The 25,474-nt window shown below is 39.0% G+C and overlaps 1 long non-coding RNA gene across 1 annotated transcript in view; it reads left to right on the top strand.

Moving 5' to 3' along the window:
* LOC102724710 (uncharacterized) overlaps window positions 1-25,474 on the top strand; it is a 90,052-nt gene that overhangs the window by 25,077 nt on the left and 39,501 nt on the right. The window contains exon 3 of the long non-coding RNA NR_125827.1: window positions 2,195-2,317. This is a non-coding gene — a long non-coding RNA (uncharacterized LOC102724710). The remainder of the gene's footprint in view (window positions 1-2,194; window positions 2,318-25,474) is intronic.

Here is a 25,474-nt window from a genome sequence, read left to right as displayed (position 1 = left end):
ATCACATTTGTAATATCTCATTTAAAACTTACTTCCCCACTTAGGGGCCCATGAGAAAAAACAAAACTAGTTTAGGTCTTTCGAAAAGAAAATTTAATTCAAGGATTTGGCCACATGGATCATGAAGGCTGAGAAGTTAAACAGAGATTGTAGGCAACACAGAACAAAAGCCACTGCTATCCCAAGGGCTGGAGGCACAAGAGCCTAGAAAGGAGGAGGTGCAATCGGGGTTACAGCCAGGCTAGCAGGAGCTAGAGTTTAGAGGAAAGGCAGCCAGCACCTGCGACAGAGAAAGGAAGAGGCAAGGTCACTCCTTTCTTGTGTTTCCCCAGACTTTGGTTAGTGCCTGCTGCTCTTGAAAAACTGATCAAGTGCCATTTGGCAGGGGAATCTAGGAAATGTACTCTGTAAAGATTACTTTCCTCTTCTCTCCCACCTTCAAAGGAGCAGGAGAATGGTAAGAAATGCATGTGAGAACAAACAGTTAAATGATGGGCACGAGAATGTAAGTAACATGATGGCTGGAATCATATCTTTCTGGTTCCTGCTTTAACTCCAACAACTGATAAACACTGTACAATACATATTTGGTATTTAACGAAGAGTTGTTGAATTAATTTAGCTGAATGAACTTCCTATTTCTCATTTGCCAAGTTCTCTGACATAATTAATATATCATGTATCTATAACCCCTCACCAGAGAATAATATTCAAGAGACAGAGATTTATTATCTGTTTTCTTAACTGACTTAGAGCTAGCACTTACAACATGTCTGGCTAGTAGTAGACACTCTATGTATTTGTTAGCCCAATGAACACAAGTTTTGTTTGATAAAAAAGCCCAACTTACCATCTTCTTTTTTTCTCTTTTTTAAGAGAAGAGTCTTGTTATGTTGCCCAGGTTGGAGTGCAGTGGCTATTCAGAGGCTCATAGTGCACTACAGCCTCAAATTCCTGGCCTCAAGGGATTCTCCCATCTCAGTCTCCTCGGTGGCTGGGACTATGGGTGTGTGCTACTGTGATCAGCACCATCTTCACGATTAAGGTGTGAGGAATCAGGTCATGAACCAGATGCCTCCTGAGTTTAGAGGAAAAATGGAACTGGTTGCTATTCAGGGGAGTCACAGAAACTTCACTGCTTTGCCACCATCTTAACAGAGCGTGATGACTGCCTGCAGCTAAGGAAAGCGGCAACATCAGAAGCACCAAGCCTCGCAAAGCTTTGTGACAAATTTGCATAAGGGATGGAATGCATGGATATAGCTGCTAACATGAAAAGCCATATCTCAAGGCTGAGGTTCCAATTTGAGATATAAGGGTTTATCTTAATAGACCAGAAACTTGAAACTTTATAGCACTTATATGGAGTTATAAGGCATGCAGATCAGATAGGTGATACTCCAGCTGAAAAAACATATAACAATGTGATATAGGGCATATACGTATAACATATACAAGCTGACCTATATTTAAACCTAAAACAACACATTAGAAGTTTCACAGAATATTGGGGAAAAATTTAATTAGGGAGATCAGAAACCTAAAGAAGAGATATCAGACTGAAGTCACAAGAGGAGAAAGGCTTAGAGGGAAGAAGGTTATTTAGCCGACAGAGAAACTTGAAATGAGAAATAGGGGAGTATCCCTGTGAATGGTTATTTAAAAGTATGAGGATTCAATGAGAAGCAGAATTAGATCCCTGCTATTTCACTTATTAGCTATATGACCTTAGGCATGTTCTTTGCACCTCGGTTTTCTCATCCAGAAAGTGAGGATAGTAATAATATCTACCTCATAGGGCGTTTATGAGGATCACACGAAAAAGATACAGGTAAGAGGCTTAGGACCGTGTCCGCTCACAGTAAGCACTCAGGGATGTTAGGAGTGTGTGCTATTATTATCTTCAATGAAGCTTGCGGAAAAAGAAAGAAATACATCCTGCAAGTGTTAGGTTGGGTGTCAGAATTTCCTCCAGGCCAGGTTTGCAGAAAAGATTTACATAAAGAATGTATGAGACATGCTTGTAAGGTAGAGTCATTCCAGTCTATTCAGACTTGAAGGCTAGAAGGTAGACTAATTCTCCACATTCTCCCTCAAATGACCTTTCAAGTTCTCCTTCAGCCTTCCCTTACATAAAGTGTATAATTGCCCTTTCTGGCAGTTCATAGAAAAGTGCTATTTCCAACCCTTCTAGGCTGCTCTGGATGGAAAATGCCCTGGGTTCTCCGAGACTTAACACCCCGCCTTGTGAACGCGAGCAAGATTATTCTCTCTGAGCAGCTCTTTTCACATGTGATAAGCTTGGCAAGTTGCCCTGGTAAGTGTCAAGCCCTGAATGTTTTTGTTTTTGCCCTGGTGGTCCTGAGGAGTTACTGGAATACTTCTGGGGATCTGTTTTTTATCAAACTCTTGGCCGACAGTGACATTGAGAAGAAGCAGGTAGAAACAGAGAGCAGGGCTCTGGACTGCATCGCGTTTAATTCTGATAGCAGACTCCCTGTCTGCCCTGGCCGCCTTAAAGCTTCCTTCAGTCTTTTTTTGGTCCCTTTACTTTGTGTTTCTCAATATTACAGGGCAATCTTGTGTGTGTGTGTGTGTGTGTGTGTGTGTGTGTGTGTGTGTGTGTGTGTGTGTATTTTCTCCCTTTTGCTCCCCAGAGAGTCTTGTCAAAACTCCTTATCTGTTGATGAATGAAAGGAATTTCTCCTGTGCGGGCGGGACCTGGTTAATGCAGCTCTGGCCAGCACGGGTGGGTCACGGAGCTCAGGGAGCAACAAAAGGCAAAGCCCACTGAAAATATCACAATTGCTGTTGTGCCAGGAAGTGCCATCAGCAAGCATTTTCCTCCAGGCAGATGGGGGGATGAGAAGAGGAAAGGCTAATGGAAGCAATCTTGAGTTAATTTACTCCACTGGGGAGAGAGACAGAGGGTACCATTAATGTCTTTCACGTTTGCAGCATTTATTCAACTTTGAAACTTGAAAACATGTGCTTAGGAGTTTGACTGTATGTTAGAGCCAAATAAGAATCAGCACCACTTCTTTTCATACAGGACTTTTTGGTTATTTAAACTGAGATTTCTTTTCTTAATTTCCTCCAAACTTCAATCATCTGAAACTTTTTCCAATTATGCAAAGCAAAGGAGACTAGGCTGCTATATCCATTACCACAAACATTCTATGATGCCTCAGTTATGTTCTTAGTGCCCATTGTATCTCACACAATCACCTGCATGGTGTGATGACTCATTTAATATATAGTGAAAGATTCATTCAAGGAATCAGTGAATGGGTCCCCCTTCTGCCAGGAAGCTCTAGTGTATATGGCACCATTGGCCATACAACGCCTAAAGAGGAAACTGCTAAAGAAAGGAAGAAAGCTGTCCTGGTTTCACAATGTGACCTATGGGTTGGGAGGGGAGATGTCAGGGAAGCCACCGGTGGTCATTCAGTGATTCTGTTAAGATGCTCATTATGTCTGTTACAGTCACATGATTAATTTACTAAGTGCATGCAAATTAAGAATGTATAAGCAATTTACCCTTCTCACAGTCTAGGGGAAAGCCTTTAGGAGTGTAGTATGAGGACCATAGCACTTAAAATCAGGAGATCTGGGTTTAAATCCCAGCTTCACTTCTTTTTTCATGTGATCAGCTTCACCTTAACCACTCTGAACCTCCAAATACTCATCTGCAAAATGGATATAGGAATAACAGCTACCTGACTTGCGCATAAAGACATTTTAACTTTAAATTTGTTTCAATCCAGTCACTCATTTCCCAGAAGGAATTGTAGCACATATACCTCTAAACCAAAAAAAAGAAAAAAAGTTATTTGTTTGAAAAATTAAAAAAAACCTTTTCAATAAAACAAACTTCTAGAAGATAGAAAGCTTATCAATTTTATTTTCAGGAAATAGAATGTCTGGCCAGGCACAGTGGCTCACACCTATAATCGCAGCACTTTGGGAGGCCAAAGTGGGAGGATTACCTGAGGTCAGGAGTTTGAGACCAGCCTGGCCAACATGGTGAAACCCCGTCTCTACTAAAAATACGAAAATTAGCCAGGCATGGTGGTGGGTGCCTGTAATCCCAGCTACTTGGGAGGCTGAGGCAGGAGAGTTGCTTGAAACTGGGAGGTGGAGGTTGCAGTGAGCCAAACCTGTGCCATTGCACTTTATCCTGGGCAACAAGAGCAAAACTCTGTCTCAAAAAAAAAAAAAAAAAAAAAAAAAACCCAAAAAGAAAGAAAGAAAAGAAAAAGAAAAAGAAAATTCTTTGCAAGAATCCTCCTTGTTCAGAAAGAACTGCTTTTCTGAAATAGACCTTTTCCTGCCCCCTGATGTGCTGTCTACCAAACAGAATGAAGGGAGCATAATTGTATTTCTTGTATTACCTGAATGACATAATAGTCGTATCATGCGATCAGTAATCTAGTAAATGAGCGGCAGACTAACAAATACCTTAGCCAACTCACAATCCAAGAAACATAAGAGCTAAAAATGAAGTTCATCTATTTCTGCTCATTGCATTCAGAAATTATACTTTGGGTGATTGGGTGATTTTTATTTGGGGATGACAAAAAGACTAAGGATTTGGGGCTCTTGTTCTCTTCTCCATTCCCCACTTAAACTTGCCTCTGCATCTGTTGGTAGATCTTGCATTGTTTGTTCCTCTGTTTCATTGACCTCTAAACTCATAATCTGAGAACATATATTTCTAAAGAAAAAAATAACCTTTTCTTTTCTGATAGCAGAGTTCTAGTTCTTTTTCTCCTTTCTGTTAATTCTCGCCCAGAAGTCCTGACACTGGCCTAGTTCCTTTTAGTTATAATCTTCTGGGGTGTCATGAAGTCATTTCAACTTTTATCTTTGCCTGTGACTGTCCTATTTCAGTTCACCTTTTGGCAGCTTCTTGTGCTTTTCCTGCTTTCTCTTCTCCCAATCGGGCCTCACATTGTGCTAAGACAAAAACAGCTGTGATGCTAGAACTGGCTGCTGCTCCTTTTGCGTGATGCAGTTTTATATTGAATGTGCCAATGGCCATGCAAACATAGATAGACTACACAGCAGTAAATAACCCCTAATCAATTGAGGTGTACCAAATATGACAAATCCTCTTATTGTCAGAGTCGCACTGTTTTTGCTGAAGCAGAACTTAGAGATGTCTTCCAACTGCCTCATTTTATAGACAAGGAAACTGAACTCTAAAGAGAGAAAGAGTCTCGCAGAGGTTGTAGATAAGAGTTATTTATGACCTTTAAATGTAAATCTGGGACTTAGAACACTAATTTGAGATAAAACAGATATGTTTTTTAAATAGAGAAATGAACAATAGGGAAATAATAAAATTTGGAACCCAAGTGGCTGGTATTGGGAAAGAAGTGGAAAATTGTTATGTGTGTAGTGAAAAGAAAGCACAGGAGAGTAGAGGCAAGACGTGTTCGAAAAGGAAATTCACCAGATAAAAAGTTAAGGAGCTCACAATGAAAAATTAAAGGACTTAATAAGGTAACCAGGTCCAAAACTGAAAGGCCCAATTTGGGAAATTACGTAGACTGAACACTTTCAAAAGCCAATGATGAAAGGTTATTTCTAGGGATAAGGAAAAGAAACCTCAAGAGAAAAGCTCAGGGTGTTAAGAATAGCTTAAAAGAATGATTTGGGTGAAACCTTGAAAGTGATTGCTCTTTCCTTAAGTGAATTAGGGAACATAGAGACGTAGTATAACTTTGTGCAGAAGTACTGTACAGTAGTTTGTAACCAGACTTGTTTAAATAAAACAGAGCTAACTACGCATGATTTGCTGACCTGTAAGCAGCAAATCCAAGCATCTACACTCCGAGATAAGGTAGGTCTTGCAGCCTAAATACCTGGCTGAGCATGAAATTCTGAAGACCATGCTTTCATATGCAGACTTTGTTGTTCACTCTTTTGAGTTAGGAGTTGATGGTTGCATCTTTTGCTGTGAGTTTGGTCAATGACAAAATTAACAGCAGTAAAGAAGGGCTGCTAATCTTTTGAGGGTTACTTGTAAGTGAAAACAACACCAGCATAAGTGTTCTAAATCTACTCTCAAATAATACCAGAAGCTGGTGATTATGGAAACTTCAAGGTCATGTCAGCAATGCTCATTTCTGTTCTGATTCGCCACATGCATAAGCTTTGATGGAAATCATATACAGAAATCAGCTATGTTCTTTATTGCCTATGAGATTGACAGATCTTGTAAAATCTTCTCAAGAGTAAGGCAGGTGATGAAACACATGATTACTATCATGAAAATATTCAATAACTATTTATAAAGTCCTTACATTTTATAAGGGACCATAGAGTATTCAAAAATAATTACGTAAAATTGAGTGAGTTTACAGTCTTTGTTGTGCTTTTTAGATTTTAGCTATATGTACCAAATAACAGCTTGCCTAGAGTACAAAGCTTCCCTGCTCTCCAACAAGGCAGCTTTGGGGATTTTTGGACAAAGTAGTGTCACCATATAGGTGATGTTGCTAATTTAGTCTTCAGACAACATTTATTTAAAAAAAATGAAAAGAATCTAACAAGTAAGATAGCATTATGCTATACTACACTACAAATTATAGATATAAATAGCAATTTTTAAAAAGAAAAATGCCATCCATAATAACTATGTTAAAATCTCTACATAAAGTCAGCAAAACAAGGGAAAAAGATAGACCAGAGATATGAAGATGAATTATTCAGATTTACCAAGTGTCACTCAAGCTGTTCTGTTTCAAAGATTCACTCATTAATTTATTCCTTTAGATAATCTTATTAAATATCTACAAGGTACTTGACAGTACAAAATAACAGGACAATGTGTTTAGCCTCCAAAATGCTAAAAATCTGGCAATGAAAACTCTCTACATGAATATCTATGGTGCAATACATGTGGCAATGAAGGTTATAATCAACACAGAGAAGGGGAAAGAAAGGTGAGAGCTATTTCATAAAGAAGATGACATTTAAACTAAGACATAATAGGAGAGGAGAATATTTGCAAGTCAACAGAGTGGGGAAGGACATTCTGGACAGAGATAATAGCTTATACAAAGTCACTGAAGTATAATAGCATATTCCCAACTCACATATCTATGAAAACTTAATATGAGAGAGATGACATTAAAAATTAGTAGGGATAACATGACTATTTAATAATGCTGCTGAGAAATGAAGTATCCTTGTGGGGAAAAAATAAAGTTAAACCCCTACCTCACACTGTACAGAAAAAAATAAATTCCAGATGGATGAAAAATATAAAAAGTTTAGAAAAAATATAAAAGATCTTATTTCTAACCTTGAGGTAGGATAAATAAGAAACAAATGCACATACTATTAAATAAAGTATATAGCTGAGTGTATTTCAATTTAAACCAATGTTACACAACAAACATTACAAATAAAGTAAGAAGATACTCCACAAACTGAGAAGGGTTTCTGCAAAGCATATAACAAAACAAATTATAATCCATAATTTTTAAGAAATGCTTACAAATTAATGAGAAATAACACATAAGAAAACTCAGTAGAAAAATAGCGTGAAGATACAAATAGGTAATTCACAGAAAAGAGAAAAAATATTGTCCTATAAGCATATGGAAGGTTGCCTAGCCTCCCTTACAAGGGGAAAACCACAATTAGATATAATTGCAGACTTATCAGTTTGGCAAAACATTAAATGTTTAATAGTGGCATATGTGAGCAAATTATATGAAACAGTAGAACTCTTATATACTGTGGTAGAATAAAAAATTGTTTGGAGAACAACTTGGCAATATCTAGCAAATTTGAAGATGCATATTTTCTTTATCTCATAAACTTTACCCCTAAACATACAATACAATGAACTCTATCTAGTAAATGTGCCCAAGAGATCTGTAAAGAACATGGACTGCAGCATTTTTGTGAAAGTTAAAAGCTGAAACAAATAAACAAAACTTAAAGCATTAATATTCATTAATAAGAGAAAGGATAAGCAGTCAAAGATGAATTAAGCTAGGCCTGTGAGCATTAACATGAATAAAACTTAAAAATATACTAGCAACCAAAAATCAAGTTTCAGGTTGATGATACCATACATAAAATATGGAAAGAAGCAAAAAAATATTATTTTCTTTAAGGAGTAAATAAATAAAAACATGCATGGCTGAAACTAATGAATGACAAATTCATGATCATGCTATCTCTGTAATGTATCTTTCTTTAAAAAAAATGGACTCAGAGCAGATCCCTAGGTAGCTATGTTTGCTCAATGATTTTCTATAATTTTCTGTGTTCTCTTTGCTAGGTAATGTGGAAACAGGGTTCTCAATTATTTGTATGAAGCTCAGGAATCATCCAATGAGATTTTTTTTAAGATTATGATATTTGCAACAGTTCTATAATCGGTAGAGATCATAACAGTGAAAGTGATTATGAAGATGGCTTATTCTTGTAACAATAAGGGTGCCCCTATGTCCGTTGGTATACTTCTTTATTTATTGTTCACTGTGCTTTGGCATCTTGTTCCTAACCATGGCCTGACACTTTAACAGGATGAGACATCCTCAGCAGTTAGAAATGGGCTGATGCTTATTGTAATTTAGGATCATGAAACTCAGTAATCAACAATTGTTTCACAGACTGGAAAGTTTCCTCATGTTCAGCAAGGCATGGAATAGAGACAGAACAAACCTCATGTTTGTTAGGTTTTTTGGACAGCCCCAAAAGCCATTTGAACAGGGCTCAGCAGGGGCAGCTCAACTCCATTCCACTTGGCATCATTGGGAGCATCTTGAAGCTTGGGCACTGGCGTCATCTGAAAGCTCACTCACTCACCTTCTTAGCAAATGATGCTGGCTGTCAACCAAGATATTACCTGTTAGTTGAAACACCTCCTCATGGCCTGAGCTTCTTCACAGAATGGTGGCTGTATTCATTTTCTATCACTGTTCAAGAAATTACCATAAATGTAGTGGCTTAAAATAATTCAAATTTATTATCTTACAGTTCTATAGGCCAAAAGTCTGATACAAGTCTCACTGGGCTAAAATCCAGTTGTCACCAGGCTGTGTTCGTTTCTGAATGAAGGCTCTAGGGGAGAATCTGCTTCATTTTCCAGTTTGTGGAGGCTGCCCACATTCCTTGGCTCATGGCCTGCTTCCTACCTCTTCAAAGCCAGCAACACTGCGTCGCTCTGTGCCTTCTTTCCACGATCACATCTCCTTCTGACTCTCTGCTCCCTCTTCCACTTTTAAGGACCTTTGTGATTATATTGGGCCACTCACATAATTAAAAATAATTTTCTCATTTCAAGGTCCTTAATTTTATTACATCTGTCAAGTCCCTTTAGCCTAGTAAGGTAATATATTCACAGGTTCCAGGGACTAGGACACAGACATCTTTGGAGAGCCATGACTCTGCCTTCCATAGTGGCTGAGTTGCAAGGATGAGTATCCTGAGACAGAGAGCCTAGCAGGTTCTGTATTACCTTTTCTGACCTAGCCCTTCTACGTGTGACCATGCAATATCACTTCCACCACAGTGCTATTTGTCATGGCATTCATAGTGCCCACAAGGTTTCAAGTGGGGGAAGAATAGACTCCAACTATTGATGAGAGAGTGTAAGGTTCTGGAGGAGTATGTGGCAACAGAAATATGTTCTGGCCATTTTCACAATATGCAACCTTCTGCACAGTGTAATGAATGAAAACATTGGCTCTGGTGTCCAACTTTCTGTGTTAAAATCCTGGCTCTTAGTGGTAATAGCAGTGTACCCTTAAGAGAATCAATCTTTCCAGTCTCAAGTTTTTTCATCTGTAATATGAAGATAGCAGTAATACTATCCCAAAGGGTAAGTCATAGGGATTAAATGACAATATGCAGAATACTGTAGAGAATGTAGAATTCTACTATGTAAAATACTTAGCCTGGTGTCCGGCTCACAGTAAGTCCTCAATAAATGTTGCTAGCAACCAGCTGTATGAATTTAGGCAAGTTACTCAATCTCTCTGAAACTCAGTTTCTTCACATATAAAATAGTGATGAGAGTACTTATTTAACAGGATTGTTGCAAAGATTAAATGGTAGATAATAAGCATTCAATAAATACTACATGGATATAATCATAATTATACACATATATATTTAGAATTATATGTAACTCTAAGTATACTTATAATAATAAACATGATGGATTTTTCCTAATCACTATCCCAAGAAAGCAACATCATACTACAAAATTTAAAAAGAATTAAACCATGAGACCATACGTGTGAAACTATTAAGAACCTCAAAATTATTTGTTAAATCTAAGTTTTTAATGACGTTTTTCAAATATGTACTGCAATAAAGATTATCAACCAAATAGTATTTTGAACATTATAGCAGTATAAATATGTACACTGATTGATCATAAACCAATGACGTTGGGATCTGCTGGCTGTGGTTTAACAACAATATTGATAAAGAAATGGGGTCACAAAGATGAGGGAAAATGGTCACTATGAGGCTTGGATGATTGTTAAGCCAGTCCAGGCTGTAAAGGACTCAGAGAGCTATATCTGTCTAAACTCACTGAACCCAGCCAAGACTGCTTGGAGCAATGCCCTAATTACACTTTGATTAGAAAAGCACCACTCAGAAACAGACTCCAAATTAAGTCATTGTTGTTCTTTGGTAAGTTCTCTTAGTACTACTAGGTATGATCTGTATAAACCCATGAAATAAAAGATACACTGTTTTTTAAAATTTCTAAAATGCCTTGTCTTTCTTGTCTTACTGAAGCAGAAAGCTCTTTTTCAAAAATAAGATTGTATATGTTGGAGGAGAGCCAGAGTTGGCAGGTGCACACAGCTCCTCCAGGATGTTGCAGGATCAGGGCCCTGTGATGTCACCAGCAAATCCACTTCCCATCAGGGTCAGCTTCACAGGAATGACCAGTGCAGTTGCACGTGGCCACTGGCTCAGAAGGATCTGGGCTTGCCATTCTATGCTCTCTAGTCACAGTCTCGAAATTACTGATAATTTTATCTTTGAATTTGGATTTTGTAAATGAAGTCTGCTGGAACAATAGAGCATGGGTGACTGCAGAGGGATGGTGGCTTAGAGAGTCACTCATGTGAGTACTGCCACCTGTTGCCTCCCCTACTTTCCAGGGACAGGTTTTGGTAGCCATGTTGCCATCATCTGGAATTTGAACCCCACATTTTCCCCTTCCCACTCTGCCGCCACTGACACCTTCAACCAGGAGCAAGAGCAGGACAGCAGGGGGAGGCCAATATCCTGCCACTACCTGCCACCCCTGGCAGGTGCCTGGGGAGGACATGGGAAGGGGTGGGGTTGGGTGAGCCTGCACCCCATAGAACCTTGGAGTATTGCAGCAGCTCTCCTCACCCAGGATTAGCAACACCACAGAACATTTGATAAGCAACCTGGGGAGAGGCCTGTTACCTATTCCTGATCAAGGTCCCCAGTGTGTCCCCCCGTGGAGGTTGGACTCTCTCAGGACCTCCCGTCCATCGTGACTGGAGTGATGGGTGTGGAAGAGGGAGACTGACAAATTGGTCTGGCCGCTCAGGCGCCTGTGAGGCTCAGCAGGCTGTGTGTATTCACCTGCCTGAGGGATTGCAGTGTTAAAAAGTCAAAAAACTTCATGAGAGGTCAACAGGGAGACCTTGGAAGGAAAAAGTTTTATATTTTTTAAATTTTAATAATACTTTCTTCCTGCATTTTGAACAAAGGGCTCCCATTTTCATATTGCACTGGGTCCCGCAAAATATGCAGGCAGCTCTACTTTCAATAGATGGGTGAATTTTCTTAATTTCTTTTAACTATAAGCAGTGATGGAAGTGAATTCAGACACAGCGCTGGGACTTGCTATGCCTACTAGAGAGGAGCCAATTCCGCAGGTCTGAATGGCAACAATTCTTAAGGTGATCAAATATGGCTTCAATACTGAGCTCAACCCGCTCTCTTAAAATAGTCTTTAAATTGGCCGCTGGCCGGCAGTCTCCAATTAAACTCCCATTCTGATTCATTTCTGTGGTTTGCTCTTGGCACTTTTTTAACTGAAAGCAGACTTGTAATTGGTTAAAACTGCATAATGATTTTATGGATTTTTTTTAAAGTGCTCCTCACTTTTAGCTGTTTCTCTTTTTTCTCTTTTTAATGGCTTTTGTTTATTTGTCGCAACAGTGATAATGATATAGCTCATCTCACATGTAGGTGAAGTAGTTGAATCTTAGGGACCCCCTAAAGAATCCAGGATCTGCCCCCAAATATCCTGGTATCCCTCTCCTAATGGCTTGGTTTTATGTATTAAAGAGTTGTCCCTGGTAAGCATGAATAGACTCCTCCTTTAGACTTGAAAGGACAGAATGTAACATGAGTTGATTTTCCACAGGATTTTCAGATCACTCCCTAAGATCAAGCTGGATAATAGTGCAAATTTCCCCAAAAGGAATTTTGTCACAGGTGTGTTTTTTTTGTCCAATATTGGCTTTCCACAAGTCAATAAATATCATGGGGTTTTAAATAATATTCTTTCCACTCATGTTTTATGATCTTACAAAATCTGAGCAGGTTTTGCCTATTACAACATATGTATTCTTTTTCTTCTTCATTTCTTCACTATATTAGCCACATGCTTCAGAGAAGGAGTCACACATTTGAACTAAAAGTGCTGGCAACCTTTTTATTTAACCTCAGACTTTAATTTTAATGACCAATGGGTGGTAGTAATAAAGATGTTAACAAGTAGCTTGAAGAGGAGGAGAATAAAGCTGACAGGATTTGCTGGTAGCTTAAAGTTGAGGGGGAAGTGAACAAATGGACATCAGGAGGGCCCATAGGTGTGAGACCTAAGCATCTGAGTTGATGAGTGCCATGTTTACTCAACTGGAGAAAACTGGCAAAAGAACTGGTTTGGTGTAGGGGCAAACCAAGGATTCTGTCCTCAAGATGCCTTTTAACATCTCAGTGGAGATGTCAAGGATGCAGTTAGACACAAAAATTTGGACCAAAGTGGAAATGTCATAAACATACAGATGTGGGAGCTGAAACAGCGTGTAAGTTTTATGCAAGGTCATGAAAGCTAATGTGATTGCCAGGGGCCAGATTGCTCTAGCAAAGAACAGCAGGTTGGGGCCTATGAGGCAGCCCAATGTCTGCTGGTAAAACAGGAGCACAAGCAAAGGGAACTGTAGAGGAGTTCTCAGAGAAGGTGGAAGAGAACAGGGAGAGTATAGCGTAACCTCAGCCTACAGGAGACAGGGCTTCAAAGAGTGTCTGGTCAACTGTGTCTAATGGGAGAGGAGTCAAGAAAGCATGGGAAAGAACTGTGGGATTGACTTTAGAACAGTCACTGATGATCCTAAGGAGAGAAATTGTAGTGGAGTAGTAGAAAAAGATGCTTAATTTGAAAAGATGAGAAGAAAGAATACATACAACACTTTCAAAAAGTTTTGCTGGAAGGGAACAAAGATGTTGATGGTAATTGGAGTTGAACTCAAATTGCTTTAGTCCATTATAAAATGTTAGCTATTTAATAAATAAAGTTAGCTATTATGGACTGAATTGTGTCCCCCCAAATTTCATGTTGTAGCCCTAGCCCTCAATGTGACCATATTTGGAGATAGAACCTTTAAGGAGGTGACTAAGGTTAAATGAGGTCATAGGGTAAGGCTCAAATCCAATAAAACTAGTGTTCTTATAAGAAGAGGAAGAGGTACAAGATCTCTCTCTCTCTCTCTCTCTCTCAATGTGTACACAAAGGAAAGGCCGTGTGAGGACACGGGGAGAAGGAGAGAAGTTACAACTCAGAAATAAAAGCTTCAACAGAAGCCAATCTTGCTGACACCTTGATATTGGAATTCTAGCCTCTAGAACTGTGAGAAAATAATTGTCTCTTGGTTAAGCCACCCAGTCTCCAGTATCTGGTTATGGTAGCCTGAGCTGACTAATACACTAGCTTACATGGTATACTTACGAAGTATAGTTTAAAATTAAAGTATTTTTAATAGTTTCATATTGCTTAAATGCTTCTCACTTTTCTGTTGATCTCAACCTCAATTTAGTATTTTTTTTAACAGTTTCAACTGTATATTACCCTCCTTTCAACTGTATATTACCCTCCATTTCAGCAAATGCACCAATATAACATTATTTGTGCAGGCCAAAAATCTCAGAGCCACCCTTGATTACTCTCTTTCTTTTATGCAACACTTATGAAAAATTGCACTGGCTCTACCTTCAAAATATAATCTAACCACTTCGTTTTCCTTCACTTCCTTTTCCTGAGTTTTAGCTACCATCATCTGTCAGTTGAAAATCCCTCCTAACAAATCCCCATATTCCACGCTAGCTCTTCTGCAGTGCCTTTCTGACATATCCCAAGTAACACATCTAAAATATGAACCAAGTCTTATCTTACTTCTTACCTTACCTTCAACATGCAAATTGTTTTCCTTCTCACAGAATTAAGTCCAAAGTTATTGGGGCCACGAGGCCATCATGATATGGATCTTGGCTACTTCTCTGTATCACTTAACTATTTTTTATATAACAAACAGTCTGAAAACTCAATGGCTCCACACATTATTTATTATTATTTTGTGCCCGGAACTTGGCTAGGAGTTGACTGATCCAGGCTGGACTCAGGTAGGATTGCTTGGCTGGGTGGCTCTGCTCCTTCAGGGACCAGAAGGCCAGCCTGAGCTATTCTTCTGAGAGCAATGGGAGATATGCAAGAGAGAGAGCAGAAACAGGCAGAGCTTCTGAAGATTTAGACTCAGTGCTGGCATATCGCCATTTTCACCTTGTTCTATTGACCAAAGCTAGTCACAATGCAAAGTCAAGTATAGGAAAATATCCTAATCCCCTTTAGAGGAAGGAGCTACAACATCACATGGCAAAGACTGTGCATCAGGGAAGAGTAAATTATTATGACCAGTAATATAGTCCACCACGTACTTGAATCCAGTTTCCTAATTTCGTCCTCTTGCTCACTTGACTTCAAGATGCACACTTGTCAATCAAGCTGCCATCTCAGGGCCTCTGAACTTGTGCTTTCTTCTACTTGGGACACTTTTTCCCTGGATTATCACATAGCTCTTTTATGTTACTCTGGCCTCTATTAAAATGTCATATCCTCAAAGATTCCTATGGCCGGGGTCAGCAAACTATGGCCCATAGACCAGCTCTTGCCTACTGCCTATTTTTGTAAATAAAGTTTCATTAGAATATCGCCACATCTATTCTATTTACTTATTATCTATGACTCCTTTTGCATTATAATGGCAGAGTTGAGTATTTGTGTCAGAAACTGCTGAAAGACTTTAAATATTTACTACCTGGTCCTTTCCAGAAAATGTTGCCTACACATGCTGTATCCGATTATCATGCTTTATTTTTCTTCTCATGTTTATCAGTTTCTGACATTACATATTTGTTTATCTGTTTATGATTGAACTTCTTCTCTATACTATAAGCTTCTCTAGGGAAGGGTTTTGTCATACTTACTGCTGTATTGCTAGTCCTAAAAATGTACCAGGTACTCAGAATTGTGTTCATATCTCCTTTAAGTCTTTGTATAAATATCACTTTCCCAGTAAGGCTTCTCCTGAAAACCCTGTCATTTCCAAGCCCTCTTCCCCTGCCCAACATATTTTCTTTACTTTATGGACCTTATTGCCTTCTTATGGACCTTATTGCCTTCTTCCGTACTACCTTTCTTAACAATTTTATTGCGTATTGTCTGACTCCTTTTATGACAATGTAAACTTCACAGGAACAGAAATCTCTATCCGAAATGTTTACGTGGTATAGTGCCTGACAGAGAAGTGCTCAAGACATATTTGTTAAATGATTGATCAAATAGGAACCACTTTTTAGGAATCAAATTTAAATCTTTAAAAATTAGAGAATAAACTAAATGATAGGAGTTAATATTAATATCATTCCTCAGTGTTTAAGGGATCCTTGAGAAAAATCTCTAAATGAGACTCAAGTCCTGCAGCAGCACTCCCATCTAATGAGGTTTCTTTGTCACAGAACAGATGAGCCTAACAGCATACAGACCAGGCATGTCAAGGTTGTTATGATCTTTTCTAAAAGGCACGCTGCCCATCAACATCAAGGGTGAATGGAAAACATCAGCAAGTGTCCCGCTTAAAGCCCCTCTGTTTAGATATTCTGCTTACTAGCATCCTTCAATATGCATATTTCAGTAAAGAGGGAGAAACTTACTTTTATATTCCAAGTAAGGTAAAAGGAAATTCATTGAATTTCACCTTGGATCTAAAATTTGCCTCTAGGGGAATAATAACAGAAAGCGGGGGAGGTCAGAACTCTTCCTTCGCCTCACTAGGATGTTAGATGAATCATGAGAGTAGCTTTTCTGTCTCCTCTGCTGTCTCACGCCCCGCTCTCAGAGTGAGCAATGCCAACTGTGGAGTGAGGACCATTTGGAAAAATAAAGATTACTGTCTTTAGGAGGTTGGAGGCAGTTCAGGTAATAACCAGACATACCCAGATGAGTTGGGGTGAAGGGCTGGTTCTCATTCATGTGTGGAGGCTGCAGTGGAGCACTTCTAAGGGGCAGGAGCATCCTGCCTGTCATCTGGATGCCCTGTGGATTCTGCCCATTCCTTGAAGGTGAGAAGAGGACATATAAAGCCTCATGTCACACAGCCTAGTTAAATAAATAGCTATTGGGTGGGAATTCGTTGACAGTAGTTTTATCATGACATGCTAAATGCTGCCAGTGCCCTGCTATATCTCCTTGCCCCTAACACCCTGAGGTGCAGCAACCCAACTTCCAAATGCCAGCACCTGCTCTTTTTTGCCTGAAGGTTTTCTCTTGCTTCTGGAGCCTGCTTGACCACCTGCACAGACCAGAAATGCAGGGGGATTAACAATTCCTGGGAGCAGCCCTTAACCAATGACTGACAGAAGCTGGTGCATAAATACCCCAGCTCTCTCACTTGCCCAGTGGATTAACTCTTCCATGGACTCCCAGAGTTTTCCCAGTGATATCAAGCAGCAGTCCCCTGCGGTGTTGACTGGTTTGATAAAGTGATATTTGCTGTCTTCACTTTCATGTCTTATTCCCCCCATACCCACCTGCACTGGTGTTTTCTTTCACCTCCCAAATAAACTACTTGCACTCAAATTATCATGTCAAGGTTTGCTTCTGGGGAAACCCAAACTAAGATACAGGTCTATCCAATTCATACTTATTTTTAGTTTCCTATCTTAACTCATATGTGTGTGATGATCTTATTTTTGTTTCAAATATTAGGGAAAATATGTTCAGCTTGAAAAGTCATATTCTCCTCTTTAAGAGTAGATTGAAAGCTTTGGGAACATTTGGTGTTAATCCTTTTAGTAACTTTTTAATGCTTAGTTATAAATGCATATATCATTGTAAGCTGAAAGAATAAACAATATCTATAGGTATGTTAATTTTTAAATTTTTAATATAATAAAATATTTTAAAATCTGATGGCTCTTCTATAAAATCCAAGCCCTTAATTTTATGTTAAGCAGTATAAAGTTTGTGAAGTGACTTATCTAAGATCTCATTGCTAATTGCTTTTACAGCTGAAACCACAATTAAATTCAGATATTTCTTAAAAGTTCATATGAATTGATGTCTAGTCAAGTGCCCTATATCCATCCTGTCTTCCAGGCTTTTCCAGTTGTACCTGCTTTAACTATTTTTTTTTAATGTTTAAGTATTTCTGGATGGTTCTGGAAAGGGAACTTTGTCTTTATTTCTTTGGCCTTTTCCTCCCTTGTAAGTGGGAGAGGGACAGCTTCATAACATGATTTCTTGGGATTTCTAAGCTTACCTGAATAACCAGGGTTATTCCTTTCAGGCAAGAGAAAATGTTCTTACCTTCTCTCTCTGCTAATTTCTGCCACCACCAGCTGCAGAAACAGCCATCGTATTGTAGCAGAAGTAATGATCTGCCTCTTGGAACTCAAGAGAGACCCCTCTTGCCACCCTAGAGACATGCATATGGCTGGTGTGCTTGTATATTTTAGCTCTGTCCCTGCACCAGACCCAGTGTATGCACCTCTCCAGAGACATTCATGCCTACCTCTCCCAGAGGCCTGGACCCTGTGACAGCCCTTACCCATAAGAGTGGGTATGCCCTTTCCTTCAATCAGAAAGCTATGCAGCTGCTGTATGGCCTCATCTTGTAACACTCCAGGTTGCCTCTGCCTCCTGCAGGGGCCAGGGTTGGGCTTCATTCAGCAAAGTTTCATCACCATCATGTCTGTCTCATCAGGAGCCCCAGAAGCTGACCTAACCAAGCTCAGAGAGGTTCTGGCTTCCCAGGGGGCTGGCTGCTTAACACAGTCCAGACATGCCATCATCATAGATTTTGAATTAAAAATAGATTTTCAGTTGACACCATTTTGAACAAAACATATAGCATTGGTATTTTGCCCATTTTAGAGACCGGGCATCAAAATAGAGAAAGCTTAATAACATTCCTAGAATTACTTATTGTATCATCAATGGATTTGAAAAAAATTACTTAGCCTCTTGATTTCATCTAACCTTGAGTTTTTCACTCTCCTGTGCCTGTTTTTGTTTGCTTTTCCCCCACTTTATCTGTAGAGAGATGCATAATGGTTAATTTCCTCCTAAAGAATAATTCATCTAGGGCAGTGGATGCTGCATACATCTGCGAGGCTCTTAAGTATCTCATGCATTATGTGGCCCAAATGGCTACATTAGAAAAAAAATTCCAATTAGTGGAATTTAAATATGGAATTTCTTTGAATAGCACTTCTCCTTTCATATGTTACAACATCCTGATCAATGGCACCAAAAAGCAAAAGGTTTCTCTTATTGCTATATATTTTTATTTCCCTCCAAATATCAATGCCACATCAACTGTTAATCTGAAAAACCTCATTTAATGTCAGCTTGCTCACAGTTATGAAAATTCAGGTAATGTATTCCTGTTACTAATTGTATTTGAGAAAGTGTTATTAATTTCATATATCAAGTTCGTAGTGGCCATCTGTTCCCTCCGAACTGCTGCGTCTCCCTCCATCTGCCCTGTTTTTCTTCTGCTAATCGGGTGGCAAGGGCTCAGATGATCGGGAAGTTTCTCCCTGACTTTTGATTTGTCACTCATCATCAAGCCAGCTGTGCATTTGTAACAGACTCCTCCAACGGGTGGTGGTGAATTTAAATCTGTCTGGTTTTCTTTCTTTTTTTTTTTTTAATAAAACTTTTTTGTCAAAAAATGTTTAAAGGAAGCCAGATTGTATTTTCTACACTGTAAAATGTGCTTTGCTGCCACTAATTTGGCTGCATCTGCACTCTCATGAATATAGATGAAGGTACATGGCCAGGATATTATTAGGGACTGCAGCGAGCAGGGAAGAATTTTAAATGCGGCAAGATACCATGGTTTAGATTTCTGAGAACATTAGGACAAACTAACGTGAAACTGCTGACATTTGCTAGCTTTAAGTTCAAGATGAGCTTTTGAATCTTAACCACAAAGATTCTTCTTTGGATAGTTTTGCTTGTGTGAGGTTGGGCAGGGGAAAGAGGTTATGAGAAGGATTCTGGGAGAGTGTTATTAAGTGGAAAATGTTTTCAAATCAAATCTCTTCACCTTTTCTCCCATAAATCATGAAGCCAATGTACAAGTGATGTGTCTGAGTTTACATCTCATAATTGAGCAAGAAGGGCACAACAGTAGCTAACATCAGGATTTTCCAAGCAACTTGGACTCACCCTGCCGGACTGGATATTAAGGTTACAGATTTAGAGACTTGAAGATGAGCCTAAGATGGTAATTAATTATTGTTTGTAATTGTTTACTATATATTTTAGTGCTAATAACAGGTTATAACTAGTAAATATTTACTAAAATGTCATTCATCTTTTCTGATACACATTTCTCCAAAGTCCAATAGACAATTGCACTACTCATATGTTTATGAGGATTTAAAAAGTTTTATTTTGCCTTCAAAATGATTCCATATAATTTGATATAAGAAAATATTCAACCCATAATCAATATACTTTTATGGAGTGTCCACTTTTAGGAACAGACAGAAACTTAAAATAATAGAACAATATCTGTCCTCAAGAAACTTACAATCTAGTTACTATACAACGTGATAAGGTACTCAATAAAGTTGCCAATGTCGCTGCTAATAAACAGCGAAACAAAGAGTGCCAGATAAAAACACGTACAAATCTTCGTAAGAAGAATCATTTTGATTTGCATTAGCTCTAAAACAAAGATTTCTGATTTCTACTACATATCTAATTAGTATTTTTTAACATTAAAAAAGTAAAATTTAATCTTAAGTTTTTTTTCCCTTATAATCACAGTACTTCAGTAACAAGAAGAATTGTCATCCTTGCTTTAGAGGAAAAAGAAAAAAAACTCTTCAACATGGTATGGTTTTAAAAACCTGGGAATCTGCATTTCAAAGTGCGGAGTCTATACTTTATTACCTGTTAAGGGATGAAGTGTGTCCTCTAAAAAATATGTTGACGTCCTGACCCTTGGCATCTAGGAATATGACCTTATTTGAAAATAAATTTGGGTCTTTGTGGATGTAATTAGGTTCAGATGAGGCCAGACTGGATTAGGTGGGCCCTAATCCAATTGAACTGCTGTCCTTATAAGGAAAGGAGAAGAGACACAGGGAGGAGACATGCAGGGAGAACGCCTTGGTACAACGGAGCCAGAGGCTGGCTGATGAACTTACAAGCCAAGGAACACGCAGGATTGCCAGCAACCACAAGAAGCTAGGGTAGGAAGAGGAAGAGGATCCTTCCCTAGAGCCTTGGGAGAAATACTGGCCCTGCTGACGCCTTGATTTCAGACCTCCAGACTCCAGAATTGAGAAAATCATTTCTGTTGTTAAGCCACTAAGTTTGTGGGAATTTGTTACTGCAGCCCTAGGAGACTAATACAGTACCATGATGCAATTTAAGAAATAGAAACAAGAAGTTTGACCACTTCCTTTTTTATAATTTCTAAAATTTACATTTAATTATAACAGAGAGAGCCAAAAGACCTCATGCTTCTTAGTGTCATGAAGGAGAGCATCCACTGACATTTTAAAGTTTTTGAAACAGTTTTCTTTCTTAAAGGTATCATCGGCAAAGCAAAATAATTGTGTGACTGTCGAGTATTTTTAAATTGCTAGAGTTAGTGATGTTAGAAAAATGACAGAAGAAATACCAGATCTAAATTATTTCAAAGTACAATGAGAATTTAATATTTTGCATCAGCATAACTGCTTTAACCATCTCTCGTTGGGAAAATTACGTCCCTGTTTTTTCCCCTAGGGATTTTATCCTTTTCCTAGGGATGCTTCTACCAAACTAGAATCAAGTTCCAATTCAATTGTCCACTTTGACTTTTGATATCATTTATTCATTTATGAAAACCCACTTTGTATATCTACTTCTCAACTAAAAAACAAACAAACAAAAATTCTGAGATACCACCATGTGACATCCTCAAGAGAATTTTGAGGGTTTCCAGACCTGTCTAGATCTTTAAGAATAAAAAATTTTAAACATAACCTAAGCATCCTCTTTGTCTCTTGCTGGTGCCTGTTCCCCAGGTCTTTCTTGCTATGCCCAGCAATACATTCCCCAGAGATAATGTGATGGCCATTTCCCTTCATCATCATTTAGGTCTCAGTGATGTTTCCCGACTCCTTTAGATTAGTTTTCGATTGATGTCAGTACTTGGTAGTTCTAAAAAAATGTAATCTTTGAATTGTCCTAAATGTTGTCCTTTCTATACAACCTTGCAAATCAAAGTGGGATCTGGGGACCAGCAGTATCAGTATTAACCGGGAGCTTGTGAAAAATATAGGCTCTCAGGCCTCTGAATCAGAAGAAAACATTTTCAATAGGCTGTCCATGTGATTTGAAAGTACTTTGAAGTTTGGGAAGCAGAGCTGTATAACACATTGTTTTTCCCTGCAAATTTCCAAAGCAACATCTTATCATACTATTATGTTCTGGGTCACAGAATGACTCTCTTTGGGACAGCCTGTTTCTATTTTGATAACAGTATCCCTCTTTTCTCTTTATGTAAATCAAAATCCTTTAACATTTATGGAATTTGTATGTGAAGAAAAGGATAAAAAAAGGCCCCAGAGCATAGGTATTACCCCACAGTATTACCATTGATGCTTCCCTTCTGCACCATGTTCATTTACACCAAGACCTTGGAATATCATCAATGATATTAATAGAATATACATTAACAACACAGAAGGGAAGACCAGGCCCATTGAAGTGATAGTTCTGTTTCCTTTGCCTAGGTAGATAATGAAGTAGATTCACTTTTCCCATGACACTGGGCTGCCTGATATTTTGCTGTGTTACATGACGTGCTTCAGCATGACTAATACAGCCCAGCTGGTCTCAACAGCAGGAAAATGTGTCGTGGGGGGAGGGGTGATATGGCGAGGAAGTTACGCCTGCGCAGGCAGAGGAGGATCTGTTGTGTCTATGAGTGGATTGGGGGTGGGGTAGGAAGAAAGAATGAATGAAAGGGGGAAAACGAGAAAATCCCAGGAGTTCTGGAGACTTGAAATTTTTCAAGCTGTCATTTACCTTTGCAAAGTTGTGGTTGGTGACTGTGTTTACAGGCTTGGATCTGTAAACAGCACATGTGCAAACCGTTAGCTATTGTTTTGAAAATGACAGTATGGCCAATAATTTCAATTTCAGTGTTTAAGCGTGAACCAGATGACGCTATGTTTTATTTAAAACTGGGCATGTATCATGAAGGGTGGAAACTTGTACCTCTCAAACACTTTTATATTGTGTAGTGTGCCATATGTTGCCTGCTTTCAGGTTTTTAAAGTGATTGCCTACTGCCTCAAGGTAGCTTGTCTCAAGATTATAATCCAAATCTTGCTTGAGGGCAGAAATGAACCCATTAATTTAACAGTACACTAATGGGATTGGTATAAAGGTGTTAATTCTATTCAATATTCCTTAAGGATTAGGTTGAATGATAGTTTGGTTAAATAAAAAAAAGGGGGGGTGGAAAATCAGTATAAAATGTATGGGGCCACATAAAAGATTTGACCGATGTGTTTTAAAATTGTCTAAAAAATAAATTTAAAAAACCAAACTCGTTAGCTACATGAAATCATTTCTAACTTAAAACTCTTTTTAAAGTCTTAAATTACAAAGTACATCTTCCTTATTTTACAACTTTGGATGGAAACCAGTTTCTTTTTCCCTATTTATTCTCAATAAAGACAAGAATGAACGCTAACATTTGCTCTGACTTATCCTGGGTATATATTCAAGAAAGTTGCTGCATGCATATTCTAGTTGAATATTTAATTTCAATGAGATTTGGTCTGGTCATTGAATAAAAGATCCCTGCCCTCTTGAATTGCTTTTAAAAATTTGTATCTTATGTCTGGCTGAAGGGAGAGGTACCTAGCTCTGAAATTATACCCACCAGCTAAATGCAATTAGCTTGTGTGATCCTTGACCCTTGTGGAATGGGAGACTTTGTTCTGTGTGGTGAAGATGTGGGCAGCAGGGAGAGAGAGGCACGAGTGGGTGAAGGCTGTCCATGCTTTGATAAAGGTCATACAAATTTCTGTGTCTTCCTTAGAGGAATGTTGCTCTGATCTTTGGAACTCCAAGGCCTAAACTCATCTAATTCTTTATCCTGTGCTGGCCCTGGAGGCATTTTACTTCTAAGAATCCAATTCTATCTCCCTCAGAGGAGGCACACGTTAGCTCCCTCATCATTTTCCACCTCACTAAGTAGTCATCCAAAATACCATTACTGCTTAATTCATTTAATACTAGTATCCATGTTCAACTAATATCTTCCTTTAAAAAAAATTGGCAGTTGTTTATAACAGGATTTCTTGTCAGGTAATATCTAGCTAGATTTGTTTTAGAATCCCTTTTTTTGTTAGCGTAAAAAACAAAACCCAGCCAGGGCAGAAGATTAGGTTTCCCTCTAGGCAGGGTTCAGACAGTTTCTTCTTTGTGTTTGGCTCTCTTCTTTTGTAAGATGTGATCGGCAGCCTGTATTTGGAGGCCTGGGAGGGAAGAGATTAAGTTCTCCTCAGCTGGCTGTCCGAGGGTGTGGCTTTTTAACATTTTGGCTAACAGATGGTGACAAACCAACAGGTGCACCCAGATCACTGCACCAAGCTTTTTACATCTGCTGGGCACACAAACAGTGTGCTTGCTGCAGCTCCCCCGCGCCAGCTGGGGCCTTGGCTGCTACGAAGCCTGGCCGCAACAAGGTGCAGAGAGATGGAGGCTGGCGACCTTCAACTATTAACCTACTGATATGATGTGCTTTAGAGGATAAGCAGGGCAAGAATGCTTTGATCTGAATATTATGCAGTGAAAAAAGAGACAAAGGGGCACGGAACCTGAAGTGAAGTGAGGAAGTGGCAGGCTTTTCAGGACTTGACAGCTTCTCTCATCAAGGCCAGAGATTTTCACTTTAAGCAAAGACCTTGGCCTGCATTTACTGCTGTCTGGGAAAGTTGTTTGATGGGCTGAAAATGGTCGGATGAAAAGAGCCTAGAGAATCCTTGAGACAAATCCCTTTGCCACAGTAACAACTAACCTTCAGCAGGCATTGGCTGTGTGCAGTGCTCTGCCTGAATTATCTCATCGCATTCTTACCAGTTTATAGGGCGGGCACTGTTATCAGTAAAGAAATCAAGTCACCTAGAGGCTAAGCGATTTACAACTGGAAGAGAGCAGAGGCAGTGCTTACTGATTCAACATTATTTAAACACATGTTTATTGAAAGTCTACTATGTGCCAGGCACAGGCCTATGTGCCAGTTCTTTAAACCAAGTAGGCCCGACTCCAGAGCATCTGCGTTGAACAGCTATGTGCAGTCAGGGATTAACTCACTTTAGACCTCTATCTACTCGAAGGTAGAGAAGGAAAAATGTGCTTGAGGTCACTAGAAGTTGCAACTTCACCTATTAACTCCATCTCAAAAGGGTTGGGTTGTTTAAAAATTTTGTGTATTTTTTTTTTTTTTTTTGCTATGATTACCAAGTTTCTTATGTCACATAAAAGAAGGTCATGCCCCATACCGTTTTACTAATCCTGACCATTAACCCTATTTAAAGCCAGGGATTTTGAGACTTAAGAATTATTTCTCCTACACTGTTATTTTTACAGTTGAAGAAAATTAGTCACAGAACTGTCTCCTGGGGTTCTACAGCTCTGTGGTATCAAACAGGGACTGGAACTCCAATTTTCTCATTTTTCTACCCTCAATTCAAATCTATTTTTTCCAAACTAGATTGCCTCATTTCCATTTCCATGTGTTTCATGCTCATCTCTGTAAAGGATTCAGGAACATAGTTGTAACAGGCTGGCTGCCACTCCAGCCCCAGCTGTCAGTGTACAACCTTATGCCTGCCAAGTGGGGAGCAAACACAGTAGGGC

Source organism: Homo sapiens, chromosome 8 (assembly GCF_000001405.40).
Source record: "Homo sapiens chromosome 8, GRCh38.p14 Primary Assembly".
NCBI lineage: Eukaryota > Metazoa > Chordata > Mammalia > Primates > Hominidae > Homo > Homo sapiens.
Note: the sequence above shows the minus strand (reverse complement) of the source record. Positions and strands in the feature narration are given on the sequence as shown.